This window comes from Homo sapiens, chromosome 13 (assembly GCF_000001405.40).
Source record: "Homo sapiens chromosome 13, GRCh38.p14 Primary Assembly".
Lineage (NCBI taxonomy): Eukaryota > Metazoa > Chordata > Mammalia > Primates > Hominidae > Homo > Homo sapiens.
The window spans coordinates 77,911,354-77,924,568 of record NC_000013.11 but is presented as its reverse complement, the minus strand read 5'-3'; the positions used below and the strand labels follow the sequence as shown (position 1 = coordinate 77,924,568).

At 39.5% G+C, this 13,215-nt stretch overlaps 1 protein-coding gene across 4 annotated transcripts in view, besides 6 other annotated features; it reads left to right on the top strand.

Moving 5' to 3' along the window:
• EDNRB (endothelin receptor type B) overlaps nucleotides 1–13,215 on the top strand; it is an 80,041-nt gene that overhangs the window by 50,959 nt on the left and 15,867 nt on the right. For 2 of the 4 annotated variants that reach the window (NM_003991.4, NM_001122659.3), the window contains exon 1: nucleotides 5,738–6,478. In NM_003991.4, the coding sequence (NP_003982.1) occupies nucleotides 5,996–6,478 (483 nt within the window). In that variant the 5' untranslated portion in view covers nucleotides 5,738–5,995. Of the gene's footprint in view, nucleotides 1–4,886; nucleotides 5,173–5,737; nucleotides 6,479–13,215 lie in introns of those variants that run through there. The other 2 variants (NM_001201397.2, NM_000115.5) reach the window with 2 other exon arrangements.
• Nucleotides 4,737–5,809: a promoter, noted in NCBI's record as "-187 to -1259 relative to translation start codon; described in PMID:11054415". NCBI's record gives its function as "promoter induced by Jun and Cebpb in non-pigmented ciliary epithelial (HNPE) cells" and the evidence as "EXISTENCE:reporter gene assay evidence [ECO:0000049][PMID:11054415, PMID:24265756]".
• Nucleotides 5,372–5,381: a transcriptional cis regulatory region, noted in NCBI's record as "-615 to -624". NCBI's record gives its function as "responds to Jun to promote expression" and the evidence as "EXISTENCE:reporter gene assay evidence [ECO:0000049][PMID:24265756]".
• Nucleotides 5,633–5,747: a promoter, noted in NCBI's record as "-102 to -12 fragment". NCBI's record gives its function as "basal promoter in epidermal melanocytes" and the evidence as "EXISTENCE:reporter gene assay evidence [ECO:0000049][PMID:16623715]".
• Nucleotides 5,661–5,696: a protein binding site, noted in NCBI's record as "CA1". NCBI's record gives its function as "promotes gene expression" and the evidence as "EXISTENCE:protein binding evidence [ECO:0000024][PMID:16623715]".
• Nucleotides 5,679–5,723: a protein binding site, noted in NCBI's record as "GC1/CA2". NCBI's record gives its function as "synergizes with Sp1 to promote gene expression" and the evidence as "EXISTENCE:protein binding evidence [ECO:0000024][PMID:16623715]".
• Nucleotides 5,679–5,723: a protein binding site, noted in NCBI's record as "GC1/CA2". NCBI's record gives its function as "synergizes with Sox10 to promote gene expression" and the evidence as "EXISTENCE:protein binding evidence [ECO:0000024][PMID:16623715]".

Sequence of the window (13,215 nt, the reverse complement as noted above, 5' to 3'; positions counted from 1 at the left end):
AGATGTTAAATTTTATATTATGTGTTTTTTTACCACATTAAAAGATACTCAAGGAATTAACCGCTTCTTGGATTTCCCATTTCTATATTCTGCCTACCTCTCTGCAGGGTACTTGGCACCTGTTACCTTGGCCATGTCCCCCTCAAATGCCAGCTTTGCATTATCTGCTGCCCTCATAAGAAGTAAGTCGCCTGTGCATTTCCCATGAGATTCTGTGAGTAATTTTCTTTGGATAATTCACAGCTGGTAAAGCCATTTCAGAATCACTTTCTTCACGGATAGCAATAATTGTTCTCTCTAGCAGGGCCCAAAAGAGAAGAAGCAATTTGCTATACATGCATCACTAAAAGAGATAAGCAAAAATCGCCTTATGAAATTGGCATGGCTTTGCAAGCCCCAGATGATCCCTCGCTTTGACAAAAGCATGCCATGACTCTTGGCCTGAAAGTTAAATTGTTCATCTAATGTATAGTAAATAAACACTCAGTAAAATCATTGTTTCCCTTTAAATTTTCATACAAATAGTTCTATTCCCCTACAATTAAATCTCAAAGCATAATCGGAAACTTTTTACAGATTTTGGCAGATTTTGATTAAAAGGTATTTCCATTACCAGAGCTTAATAATTAGCAGAAATGAAATTTAAAGTATCTCATTGATTAAGTACAGTTGTTAAAAACAAAAGAAGAAGAAAAAAAGCCTGCTGTGGGAATTCTCCTTTTTGGACTCTCCTAGCACATTCTATTCTGTACTACAAATAACTTTTACTTTCTTTAAAAAAAAAAAAAAAGTACCTCTCTTTTATTTACCAGTAAATAGCTAAAGATCCAAGTTTCTCTTTCTTTTTGCTTTCTAACCTATTTTGACTATTTCACATCTCTTTGGACACTTCATTCAGGTATCAAAAGAATGGAAACAAGGAAAGGTAAAAATTAAAGAAAACAATTAGAGTCACAGAAAATACATAAACTCATTATAAATTATATTCCATATGAAATAACAACTCCCCAAAGAGTGCATTACACATGATAAGACTGTGCTGACATACAGTAATGATAGTGTTTTCTCCATTACTGAGTGGCCTAAGAATAATTTAATAAATACAGTGTGCATTGACAAACCAAGACGGCACAGGTCCGACTGCCTTCTTAGACTGGAATTTCTAATATCTTTTCAAAGTTGTTACAAAAGTTCTGTGAACAGTTTTAAGAAGTTTGTAGACCAGGTTACACTCATTTTTTGTTTTACTGAGATTGGTGAAAAAAAATATGTCAAAGAAAGGAATATAAAAATTACTTAAGTTATAAGTAGGAAAGCAAATTATTGTCTAATTTTAATTAAAGTAGACCATAGCCTAAAATAGCTGAACTATGTTGCTTTTCTCAGAAAAAAAGAATGTATCCTGTCTGTTTCTCATATTTTCTATAGGCAGAAAAGAATTAATGAAGTCTTATTTCTAGTTACATTAAACCTATCAAATTTTAATTACATCAGGGAATGAAGTGTAATTTGGTACCATCAAGCAATCATTGATAACGTTTCAAATGTCAGATTCTCTCATTTAATCACACCTCTAATTTATGAGTGACATTTTAGTTATAGAAGCTGATAAGATGTATCAGATAAGTTGATAAAGCAGAAATAGTGTCTTAATGAGCGTTTTAACAGGAATAGCGTCCAAATCTAAAATATTCAAATTTTACCACTTTTAAAGAATAAATGAATTTTCAAAGAGCCCCTTAGGTATGGGTCACAGGATTGCAAACATTTGGCAAAACTCTTCAAGCTGCAGTTAAGCCCTGTCCATTTCACTGTACATACATTATACTTAATTAAAAAAGATTCTTTATCATGGATCCAGATAGCTACAGTCACTTAATAGAAAAGAAAACTCAAGAAATAGAAATTCTCATGCTGTTTGCTATTGACTTTTGCAGTCACTTTAAAACTTTTTTATTCTCTTACTTCAACCACTATTTGATCATTGAATCTGGTCCCAGAGGAATATGTGGAGAACCAGTTGAACCAACTCTTTCTGTGTTTTTCGCACACCTTGTCTCTCAGCATTCATGATTTAGAGAGTTCAACATAGGTTTTGAGGGCACATTCATTTCAAGAGGATTACATGAAAGTACTAACTTTTTTGTGTGGCTAAAAGGGCTTTTCTTTGTTCTGTCACCAGGCGAAAAGGTTTATTTTGGGAATGCTCCCCATGGCAAACCTCTTTGAGAAATGAATTCCGAATTGCATTAAACCCTGTCTTCAGGAACTTCTAGATAAAGCATTTAAAGGAAATACTGGGACATTGTCTATCTTCAACTTTCTAACTTTGAGAAGTGATCTTAGCCAATCTGGAATTTTGATAGATTTCCTAGACACTTCATAAACGTTTAAAATAAGCAACTTTGTAAAAGACTCCACATTTACCTAGCCAAAAAAAAAAAATCCTCTCATAAATGCAAAATTAGTTCACAAGTTTGCAGGTAGGAATTCTTAAAATTTGATACAACTTTTTGCTCATATATAGAAGTGAAATTTACATAGTAGTTAGTTGCTAGTGAATTCATAAATAAAATTTATCGATAACAGATTTTAAGTAATAAGATGAAAAAAAAACTATATCCATAGCAGTACTGCTCAAGGCATGAGTAATGAAAGTAACATTAAAAAAAAATATTGGCCTAGAATCTGTTTCCACTTTTCTGCACTTTAAGACACTCCTACAGAGGCAGTTTGTCAGTCGGACTGATTTATTGGAGCAAGAAGTAACTTTAATCCTTTTCTTCCATTTTACAAAAGGGGAAACTGACACCCAGTCATTCATGAAGATCAATGAACAATTCTTTACATTTCACATGGTTGTCTTTACATGTTAAGGTGAAATATTTAAGGTTAAACTTCAATTGCATATTACTGATGTCTAGAACACTGTTTCCCCAAAATAAGAAAAAAATTTGCTTAGGCTTTCTGCAATTACAATAATAAAAAGCATAGTCTGTGTAACCATTTAGACATGCATTCAAATCCTAGCTCCAAATCCTGGTCCCACAACTAACTAGCCACATGACCTTAAGTGAATTACTGAGACTCAGTTTCACTGCCTATAACATCATAGAAAATAATACAGAGCTGGAAGACAAACATCAGAGAATCAATGAGGTACTGTGAAAAGGTGTCTAATGCAGGTGGTAGACCCTGTAAGGAGTAGCTGATACTGTGTTTTAAATTCCAAATGAGGAATGTGTATATTTACCTTAAAATTGTTTGGCCTTATTCTTGAGCCCAATGACCAGTTAATAAAGTATAACTGAATACTTTAAAATATCATTATCAATTTATAAAAAATATTTCTTAAGCTCATTTTGTGGCAGGTAGTGGGATGGTGCAGAAAGAACATATAACTCATTCAAGTCCCTGTCCTGTAAAAGAAATTAAGTCACACGAAATCAATAGTGACCCATAGATGTCTCTTATGTGATCAAGTGCTTGCTAAGTTGTGGTTAACAGTCCAAAAGTGCTCCAAGAAAAGTAAAGAGATAGACCTCAGTGAGGATTAGAGCAGACTTCCAGGACTCAGTGGAGGAAATTTGAATGGAGATGGAGATGATGAGAAGGCCAGTGGGGAGAGAGAAAAGTCACCCCACAGGAGCCATAGGCATGAACCCAACAAAGCTTGTATAGGAAGGGCAGATCCAACACTGGGTGGAGTCAACTAAGCAAAATATTCATATTCCAAAGCTTCCATATAATTCCTTATTCAGACAACATTGTATATTGTTACTTGGCTCAGCAATTGAATGTTGACCTCGTTCTTACGAGACAGGGAGGATAAGGACTGCAATTCAAAATAGCCAGATTTGGAATTAGCACTCACAACCCTAGACCATATTTCTCATTCCTTTAGCCTTACTCCGTAACCATGTTCCTAACCACATTTCACACTTAAAGTTCACCTTTTTAAATAGAAATTGATTTTCTACTTCCACTGTCCCAGAAAGCATTGCCTAAGAGCCAAAAATCCAAGGTTCTTGTCCCATCTATTCCATTAACTAACATGAAGCAAAAAACGAGCCTCCTGTCTCTGGGTGAAACTGCTACATGGAATGGGTGCTTCTGGGTTTGAAGTTCCACAGATCCAGTAGGGATTTTGCTGATTGGAGGACGGCACAGTACTCTCCAGTGCATCTCCAAGCCTGACTTCCTGACCTCTTTTATACAATCTCTGGGCAAAACTACCAGTCGCTGTTATTTTCCTCTCTGCGGTAAACATGGAGCTCAAGAATGGATAGAAAGACCTTATTGTATTGCTCTACCTGGTAAATAAATATCATGTTGAATTTGCATGGCAGCTTTCTGATTATTTTCATGTCTCCGATAAGCATCAAGTCTGTCATAGGTACAGTATAAAAATGCCTGAGATTGCCTAACACCGATACTGTGGCAGGAAGAGAGGAGAAGAGCTGTACTGGGGAAAATGAGGAGTACTTGTAATCCTCTCTCGGGGCAGTGAGAGGGCCTGGGAAGAAAAGATCGAGCTGTTCCGTGTTGGGGTTAATGTTGGCTTGAAATGAAACTTCAGGGCAAAATGAAGCAGAGCAAAGAGCAGCGCCCACAAACCAACCTTAAATATCACAGCGGCGGAACATTTACCTGAAAGAAAAGTGACACTTGGCATTAAAAGTTCAATTATCACGTTCAGTGCAGAGCCTTGTTCTAGTCTGGAGCTGCCGGGTGTCACATGGTGCGTGATAACTTGCCCTTGATTTGGGTTCATTTGAAGAGCGTAGAACTCTAACAAATAAACAGCCTTTTGGGACCTGTCCCCGGACGAGGACTGCCCCCCTCCCTCGGGCAACTACTACTGATGCTGTCCAGGCATCGCCCAAGGGGAAAGGTTGCAGCGGGGTCGGAAGGCGCGGGAGGAGTCTGGCGGTGATTGATGGGAAGGGATGAATGAATAAAAGTACTTGTCTGATGGCAGCAGAGACCCCGAGCAAACGGTGGAGGCTACACTGTCTGGCATTCTCGCAGCGTTTCGTCAGAGCCGGACCCGCCTGCAGCTCAAGGGAGGCGTGCTCCTCTCCCAGAGCAGGCTGGAACCCAGCTGGGTTCCGCCTCCCGGGAAGGTGGTCTCCATTCGTCGCTCTGCATCTGGTTTGTCAGATCCGAGAGGTAAACATTCGGGCTTGGTGTTGAATTAAAATCATTGATTGAACCTTATTCTGGGGCTTCGGTTTGGCTTACTAGTTTGGGATTTTAAAAAAATAAAAATTAAGCCTATAGAGAGGGCAAATTAAAATTAGGTTGGGTAAAGGAAGGAGCGCGAGTGTTTGAAGCCGTTTGGAGGGAACAGCGGTTTCCAAGTTCCTGCTGACTTGAGAAGTCTCTGCGGGTTTCCGAATCTCCGGCGCACTCCTGGGCGCGCTGCGGGAGCTGTAGCTCAGCCAGCCAGGGAGTAGCGGCTTTCATCCGCCGGGAGGAGTCTTTCGAGTTCAATCGCGGGGTATAGAGGTTCCCCTGCGGGGCAAAATGCAGAGCTTGACACAAGCCCTTGGCCTCTAGGTGCCTTAATTCCGCGGTTCCCACGCACGCTTAACTAAGACGTGTCTGTATTCCTCCCGTTACGTGAAAGAGTTCGGAGCTTTGCCTGGGACCCCCATCATTCCCTCCCTGGCACACCCCTTCCAGAACGCCCCGCCCCACTGCATATTATTTACCCCTCCTGGCCACGCGGGGGAAGAAAAACAGCTGAGAGGGCATCAGGAAGGAGTTTCGACCCGCGCTGGCGAGTCATGAGCGCCAAGTTTCCCACTGGCGCGCAAACTTGAGTTACTTTTGAGCGTGGATACTGGCGAAGAGGCTGCGGGCGGTATTAGCGTTTGCAGCGACTTGGCTCGGGCAGCTGACCCAAGTGTCCTGTCTTCCTTCCTCTGCTTGTCTCTAGGCTCTGAAACTGCGGAGCGGCCACCGGACGCCTTCTGGAGCAGGTAGCAGCATGCAGCCGCCTCCAAGTCTGTGCGGACGCGCCCTGGTTGCGCTGGTTCTTGCCTGCGGCCTGTCGCGGATCTGGGGAGAGGAGAGAGGCTTCCCGCCTGACAGGGCCACTCCGCTTTTGCAAACCGCAGAGATAATGACGCCACCCACTAAGACCTTATGGCCCAAGGGTTCCAACGCCAGTCTGGCGCGGTCGTTGGCACCTGCGGAGGTGCCTAAAGGAGACAGGACGGCAGGATCTCCGCCACGCACCATCTCCCCTCCCCCGTGCCAAGGACCCATCGAGATCAAGGAGACTTTCAAATACATCAACACGGTTGTGTCCTGCCTTGTGTTCGTGCTGGGGATCATCGGGAACTCCACACTTCTGAGAATTATCTACAAGAACAAGTGCATGCGAAACGGTCCCAATATCTTGATCGCCAGCTTGGCTCTGGGAGACCTGCTGCACATCGTCATTGACATCCCTATCAATGTCTACAAGGTAAAGGGCGCCTGCTGAAATCATGGTGGGCTTGAGGAAGGGGGCCTGGTTGGAGACGGGGAGATGAGAAAGCTTGTAGAGGGAGCTTCCCTTTAGCTCCCTCTTAAGGTTCTGCCCCTCCTAAAAGTCAGTAATCTTTGGAACCAAATTCCATTTGGTTCTGTCCACTCATAAAAGTCAGTAACCATTGGAATAAAATTCCATTCAGGTCTTCAGTAGACCTCTGCTAAGCTTAGGACAAGCGTAGTCCCCAGTCTAGCAATGTTAGTATCACTTTGGGAACTTGGTGCACATGAAGATTTTTCTGGCCTCACCCCAGACCTACTGAATCAGAAACTCTGGAGTGGAGCACAGTAATTTGTATTTTAACAAGCCCTTTATGTGATTATGATGAACTGTAAAGTTTGAGAACCACTAGTCCTGAAGGATCTAGTCCCTAAGTGCACCTAATGGGGTACATCCTCTAGTCAAAAGTGTGTGGTCCATGGACAGTCAGCATCAATATTACCTGAGAGTTTGTTAGGAATGCAAGGCTACCTCAGACTTACTAAGTTAGAATCTGCATCTTAAGATCTTCATGTGATTGATATGCCCACTAACTTTGGGAAGGACTGTTTTGGAAGACTTTGAAAGTAGCAGGTACAAAGTAGGTATTTAGGAAATAAATGGCCTGGAAAAAAGAGATCCAGACTGGTGAGTAGGAAAAACACAGTTCACCTGCTGTGACGGACTGTAGCTACTTTGTATTAAATATCTACAGTGGGCCAAGGACTGGGTGAGATGTGTTACTTCCATTATTCCTTCCAGCAGCCCACAAGTAGATATTACAATTAGTTTACAGATGACTGGTAGGATGATCAAAGTAAATGAATTAGAGGTGGAGCTGGGGATCAGACCCAATCTGTCAGGTTCCAAAGTGCAAGCTATATGATGGCACCCCATCAATTATTTCATGGACAAGACCAAGGAGCACTCAAAATCTGTAAGGGTTTCGGTAGTTAACATTATTGTGTGATTACCATGGGCGTCAGTAGAAACACACAAAGAGCCAGGTTGCTCCAGGTTGCTTTGGAACTCCAGACACATCCCAGCACCTCTGGGCCTCAGTTTCCTCAATTCCACAATAAGGCTGCCAGTGCCCACTTACTGAGGCTTTATGGTGTTAAAAAAAAAAAAGCAGTCTAAATAAAACAGTTGGAAAATTTCAAAGACATATGAAAATATTTAAAACTTTCCCAGCAGCAGCAGCAGCAGCAGCAATAGAAAGTTGCACATAAAAACACAATCACAGTGTAAGGAAATGGAATTGTGCTTTGCAGATTTGCCTATAGCTAGCCCTGACTTCAGTACTTCAGTACAAGGGGAAAAAAATGGAATGTAAAGTTGGGAAATGTTGTAGGGAATGCTTTGACCTATTGGCAGGAGTAGTTACCATAAGGCATGCCTGTAAATTTCCCTTCATAAATCTCTAAAAATCCTAACCCAATAGCTATATTTTAAGGGGAATTCCGAACATTTCTGAGGTTTAGCGGTGAGAGTGGATTAGGATATAGTTTTCTCTAAAGGGAATCACCCCCGGAAATGGGGGAATCGATTGAAGAAATCCTAAAATCCTGTATGGCAATTGATTCTGATGAACTGTGAGGATTTACTTGGTAAGAGCTGAAATTGAATCTCTAAATGCAGCCACAACTCCATGAGGGCCAGAAGTGACCCTTTTACTTCTTAAGGCGTCCCACAAACTAAATCTTCCCATTCTAATTTGGCAAAGGAATTTCAATTCAATTCATCAAAACCGAATTGAGAACTTTTCAGTACAAGGTGTTGTGATAAATTTAAAATAAATCTAACAAGATCTCTTCCCAAAGGGAGATTAAAATCTAGTTTTGCTAGGTTGGCACAGGATTTTATGAAAGTTCTGTTTAGGGGGTCAGGAAACCCCACATGTCCAGCCCAGTTAGAAACCTTTCTAAATCAGACAGTAGCTGAAGTGCTGTGTAGAAGGTGGGATTGAGAACATTTTTTTAGTTCTGGTGTGCTGCCTCCAGGACAGATATAAATCAGCTCTTCCAGAACCATCTTATTTCCTCTGTCTGGTTAAATGAGTATTTGTAATAAACTAGAGAATTTCTGACTCCCCAAGAGGTCATACAGTTTCCCTTTCATTTCAAACTCCCATATGATTTCCCTAGGAAGTTACATCCTTTTCCCTGAAGCCATCCAGTCTTAACATGACTGTGTTTTTACTTCTGAAATAAGCCAATGAGTCATTATAAATCTGTCCATCCATTAATCTACATGGGTCACAAACACATTCATCACATTACGTCCCATCACTAAGGTCATCATTATTGAATCCTACCTTGTGGCCTTAGGTTTAGCTTGAGACACAATATCATAATAATGGCTACCAGTTAATGATGCACTAGGCACTTGGTTTATTTCATTAAGTCACTATAACAACCCTGTAGAGGAGGTATCGTTATCATTCCTGCTTTAGATCTAGGCAAACTACTTGTCAGAGAGGTGAAGAAGTAACTTGCCTAATGTCATACCACTACAAAGTAATGAAACTGGGGCTTGAAAGCAGATCATCCAGCCCAAGACCCTGTGGTCCACCCCATCCCACTGCACAAAGCATGCTCAGGCACTGCATGGTCATCTCCAACCTTGAGTATTGTTTTAGGATCTCATTTGGGAGCATTTGGTGGAATTATGGCAAATAATATGCTATCCCACAGTAGAATACTTGGTAAACATTTTCAGAAATTAATTTGAGTCAGGATTTCGGTCTCTTGAAACCCCCTTCAGCTGGTCTGTAGTGTGTAATATCAGTGGAAGTTATTCTAATGGCTTAATTTACCAAAATATCAAATCCAGGACCAGTTAAAAGCCATTTATTCTCCTAAATAATTGTGGCAACGTAGTTTTTTTAATGCATTTAGAATTTCAGAGTAGTCAGGTATGATCATTCAGAAAAAAGTAATTTAAATGAGTTATGAAGGCTATATTTAATATATCCTAATATGAGAGGCTTAAATCTAAACCAGTGATTTCTAATTTTTTTGGTGGGGTTTTATAATTCTCTTTGAGAATTCAATATACACAATTTCTGGGGGTTTGTGAAATTCTCCTACTCTCTTGTTGGCACACTAAGGGCCCAGAGGCCCAGAAATGTCAATGTGAATCTATTCCATTAATCTAGAGTTTAATGAATATAGAGTTCAGTAAAGTTGACAAATCACAAAATGTCATAGCTCTTATTGGAAGCTACAGTCTTCAGGCTGTGGAATTGGTGGGACTTTATCTGGAGTTGCTGCAGTGGGAAGCTGAAAAGCATTGGGAAACATGTCTGATCTGCCTGGACTTCCTCAAGGAGCTGGGTCCCTGGAAACTTTTAGGAAGAATCATACCACTCTCACAGGTCTCCTGTGTTGTGGGTGAAATCCTGTGTTGAAGGCTAGGGAAGTGTCTGAGGACACTTAGCAAGTTGAGGCTGCTGAAGAACTTTAAACTCATGTAAACATGCAGAAAATAATAAGCGTTGCTTACGCTTCTCATAGGCACACACTAGGGCTATGCCTACATTACACAACACCAACCAGAAGAACAATGAAAACTTCAGGCATCCAAAGGAGATATTTATTTAAATATATATGCACGTGTACATGTACATACATTAAAATGTTAAGTTTTATAAGAATATATAAGTAAAAAGATGACTATCATTTGGCACAGGGCATGGCATATAGCAAGAAATGATAAATGTTATTAAAATGTGTGTATGTGTGTGTATGTGCGTTTTGAGTATTCTTTGTTTTCCAGCTTTTGTCGTGACAAACATGACTACAAACGACATGTTTGTACATATGGCTTTGCACACATGTGTGACTACATCTGAAGGGTAAATTTTTATAACTGGAATTATTAAATCAAAATGTGTGTGCATTGTAATTTTGAAAGATATTGCCATATTGTGCTAGAAAGTTATTCTTGTACTCTTGGTATTAATCACTATTTTATATAATATCTCAATATGGATGTAAATGCATATTAATGTTTATCTGTAATATGTATATGGGCCACCATGCTTAATATTTACATAGTCTACATATACATCAGAACCAAAAGCCAGTGCTTGACTACCTGACGTTAGGATGAATTTCTCCTTATTCACAAGCTACTTATTTTGCCCTTCCTATATATCCTAAAATAAATGGGGTAATCTAGATATTTGTTCACATGAGAGCCTGGTGTTCCACTACTAAGTTGTAGAAGCATAGATATCAAAGCTGGATAAAAAGCAAGACAGCCGGGTATACTTGGGGATGCTATCAATGTGTTTATGTTGTTGTTTGGTTGGTTAGTTGATTTGGCTTGGTTTGCTTTGGCAATGATATTTAACAAAACTTGGTTGTAGGTTGGGAGAAGTTAAAAATTCTTGAGCAAATAGTGAGTTCTTAAATTACTTCTGAATTTTATTAACTCTCTTTATGTTATATTTACATGGATAACTGAGTTAAAGAAGTTAGCTCTCAAATATAGCTTCCTTTATGTGTAAAGAAATTGCATTTAAAAACAAATCTACTTGCAAACTGATAAGACAAATACCAATATCCACATTAACTAGTTTGGTAAGGATCCAAAGGTAATCAGGTGTCCAGTGGTGATGGAGAGCTAGAAATTAGGCTGGTGACCCACTGGAGTGCTTCTAGATGGTTTTACAGTTAAGAACTGTAGGCTACTATTAGAGGCAAAGAGGCTGCATTCATAGTTCTGAAAGGCAAAACTGCTGATCTTTAACGTTTAACTAGTTAAGGGTGGGAACATATAACATTAAAATGCTGGTATGTCAAAATGCGGAATTGCTTCACTGAACCCACAAATGAGTTTCGAGTGAAGTGACCTTGGCAGGTAATCAGACATTTTCTGCTTGTGACACAATCAGGATTATCTTTCTGAACAAATTTACCTTTTGCACTATCCTCTTAGACTACTTCTGGTACTTAACAAGTTTATGTATAATTAACTAGTTTTGTAGTTAAAAGTAAAAGTTGATGGAACACCACCAACTTTTGAAGTTATAATTTTCCAGTCAGTAAACTGAAGTATATTCACATATTCCAATCAGTAAACTGAAGCATATGCATATATAGCAACACAAGAAGTAAGGGTATCATTGGGAGAGGAGTCTAATTTATCCCAGTTTAATAACAATGTTCTCATTTCCAGTCAAGTAACTGAAATATTTTAGTAATATTTAAAGATATTTTACCAGCATAAGCATTCTGAACCAAAAGTGGAACCTGTATGATTTATGTAAAGCAAAATAATTTTTAAGGAGCACCAATTAAGTGCATTTAAAGTATTAACTTTTAAAACGTGTTAATTAAAAGCCAGGCTTTTAGCTTGAATGACCTGGAATCAGTTAACAATACAGCAAATACCCTGACACCCATCTATCATAGTGGCTGCAACTGTCAATACTACACAAATGCTTCAGACAAATGATGTTATACAGAAGACATAAGAGTAGTGGGCTTTTTCCACTCATATTTTTACTGATGTCCAAATGAAAAAGAAAAAGAAAGCTTGATTCCTTCTGTATTAAAGTATTGTCATAGTCAGATAACAGGTTGATAGCAGAATTCAAATCAACCAGAAACTCAGACTTCATATTCCCAATTCACTGTTTCACATGTTGGTCATAGATTTCTGTGACAAAATGGTCAGTAAGCACTTGGCCTTGGGCAATGCAAGGTTCCCTAGGTTCAATTTGATGGTATTTCTTGTGTGTGCCTTTGATCTGCCACTTGGTCACTCCGTAAATCCAAGCCTCTACAAATGTCAAGGTAAGGTTTTCTTTCAATATGGTAAGGCTTATCTATCAAAAGGTTTACATTTCTCAGTTTGCTCATTTAAAATGAGTCTTTCAAGATTGAAGATATTTCCATAGTTGTACAAAAGGATAACGTAGCCAAGACCCTGTTGTCTCCAGGCCAGGGAGCCATGTTCTTCAATTCACAAAGAAAACCATATAAGGGTATCTCTGTGTAGCTAATATGCTATAGTTGATTATTTTTAGAGAAACATGCCAAATGCTAATAAATGATTAAGTTCTTTAAAGGGTGTTGACAGATAAAGCCTGAGCTGAAATAAGATTCAAGATGTAATTTATGATGTGAAACATTCTCTTTCAGGACTTTGCACAGTTAAAAAGAAGTTGGTTATGTTTGGGAGATAGCTGAATGTGGTGTGTGGGTATACCTTAGCCAACAACTTCTCTAATTTTAGACTTTTTATTATTTCCAAGGCTTTTATTTTAGAGAGTTATTTATCCTTCCCTGTAGGGCCTCTGGTGAAAATGTAAAGGAACAAGAAAATGGCCAAAATGTGGTGGTGGATGGGAGAGAGGGAGAGAGAGAGGAGAAGGCGTGAAGGGAGAAGATAGAAGAGGATCATTCTTGAATCAGAAATTTATTAGCAAAATTGATTGAAGCATTTCTCAAGCAAGTCTCCCCTTTTGAGGCTCAAAACTGCACTCATGCCTGCTGACCTGTGTCTTTTCCCCACTTCTGTCTTCTTCAGTTTCATTGTAGTTTCCAGAAAGGAGGAAAACTATCCTCAGAATGTTTACACTGTACGCTGTCTTCTTCCCACTCACTCAGTGTGTTCAGCCTATTTTAATGAGCTTTCAGATTCCATAGTAATCAGACATTTTCTGATCACAGCTTATT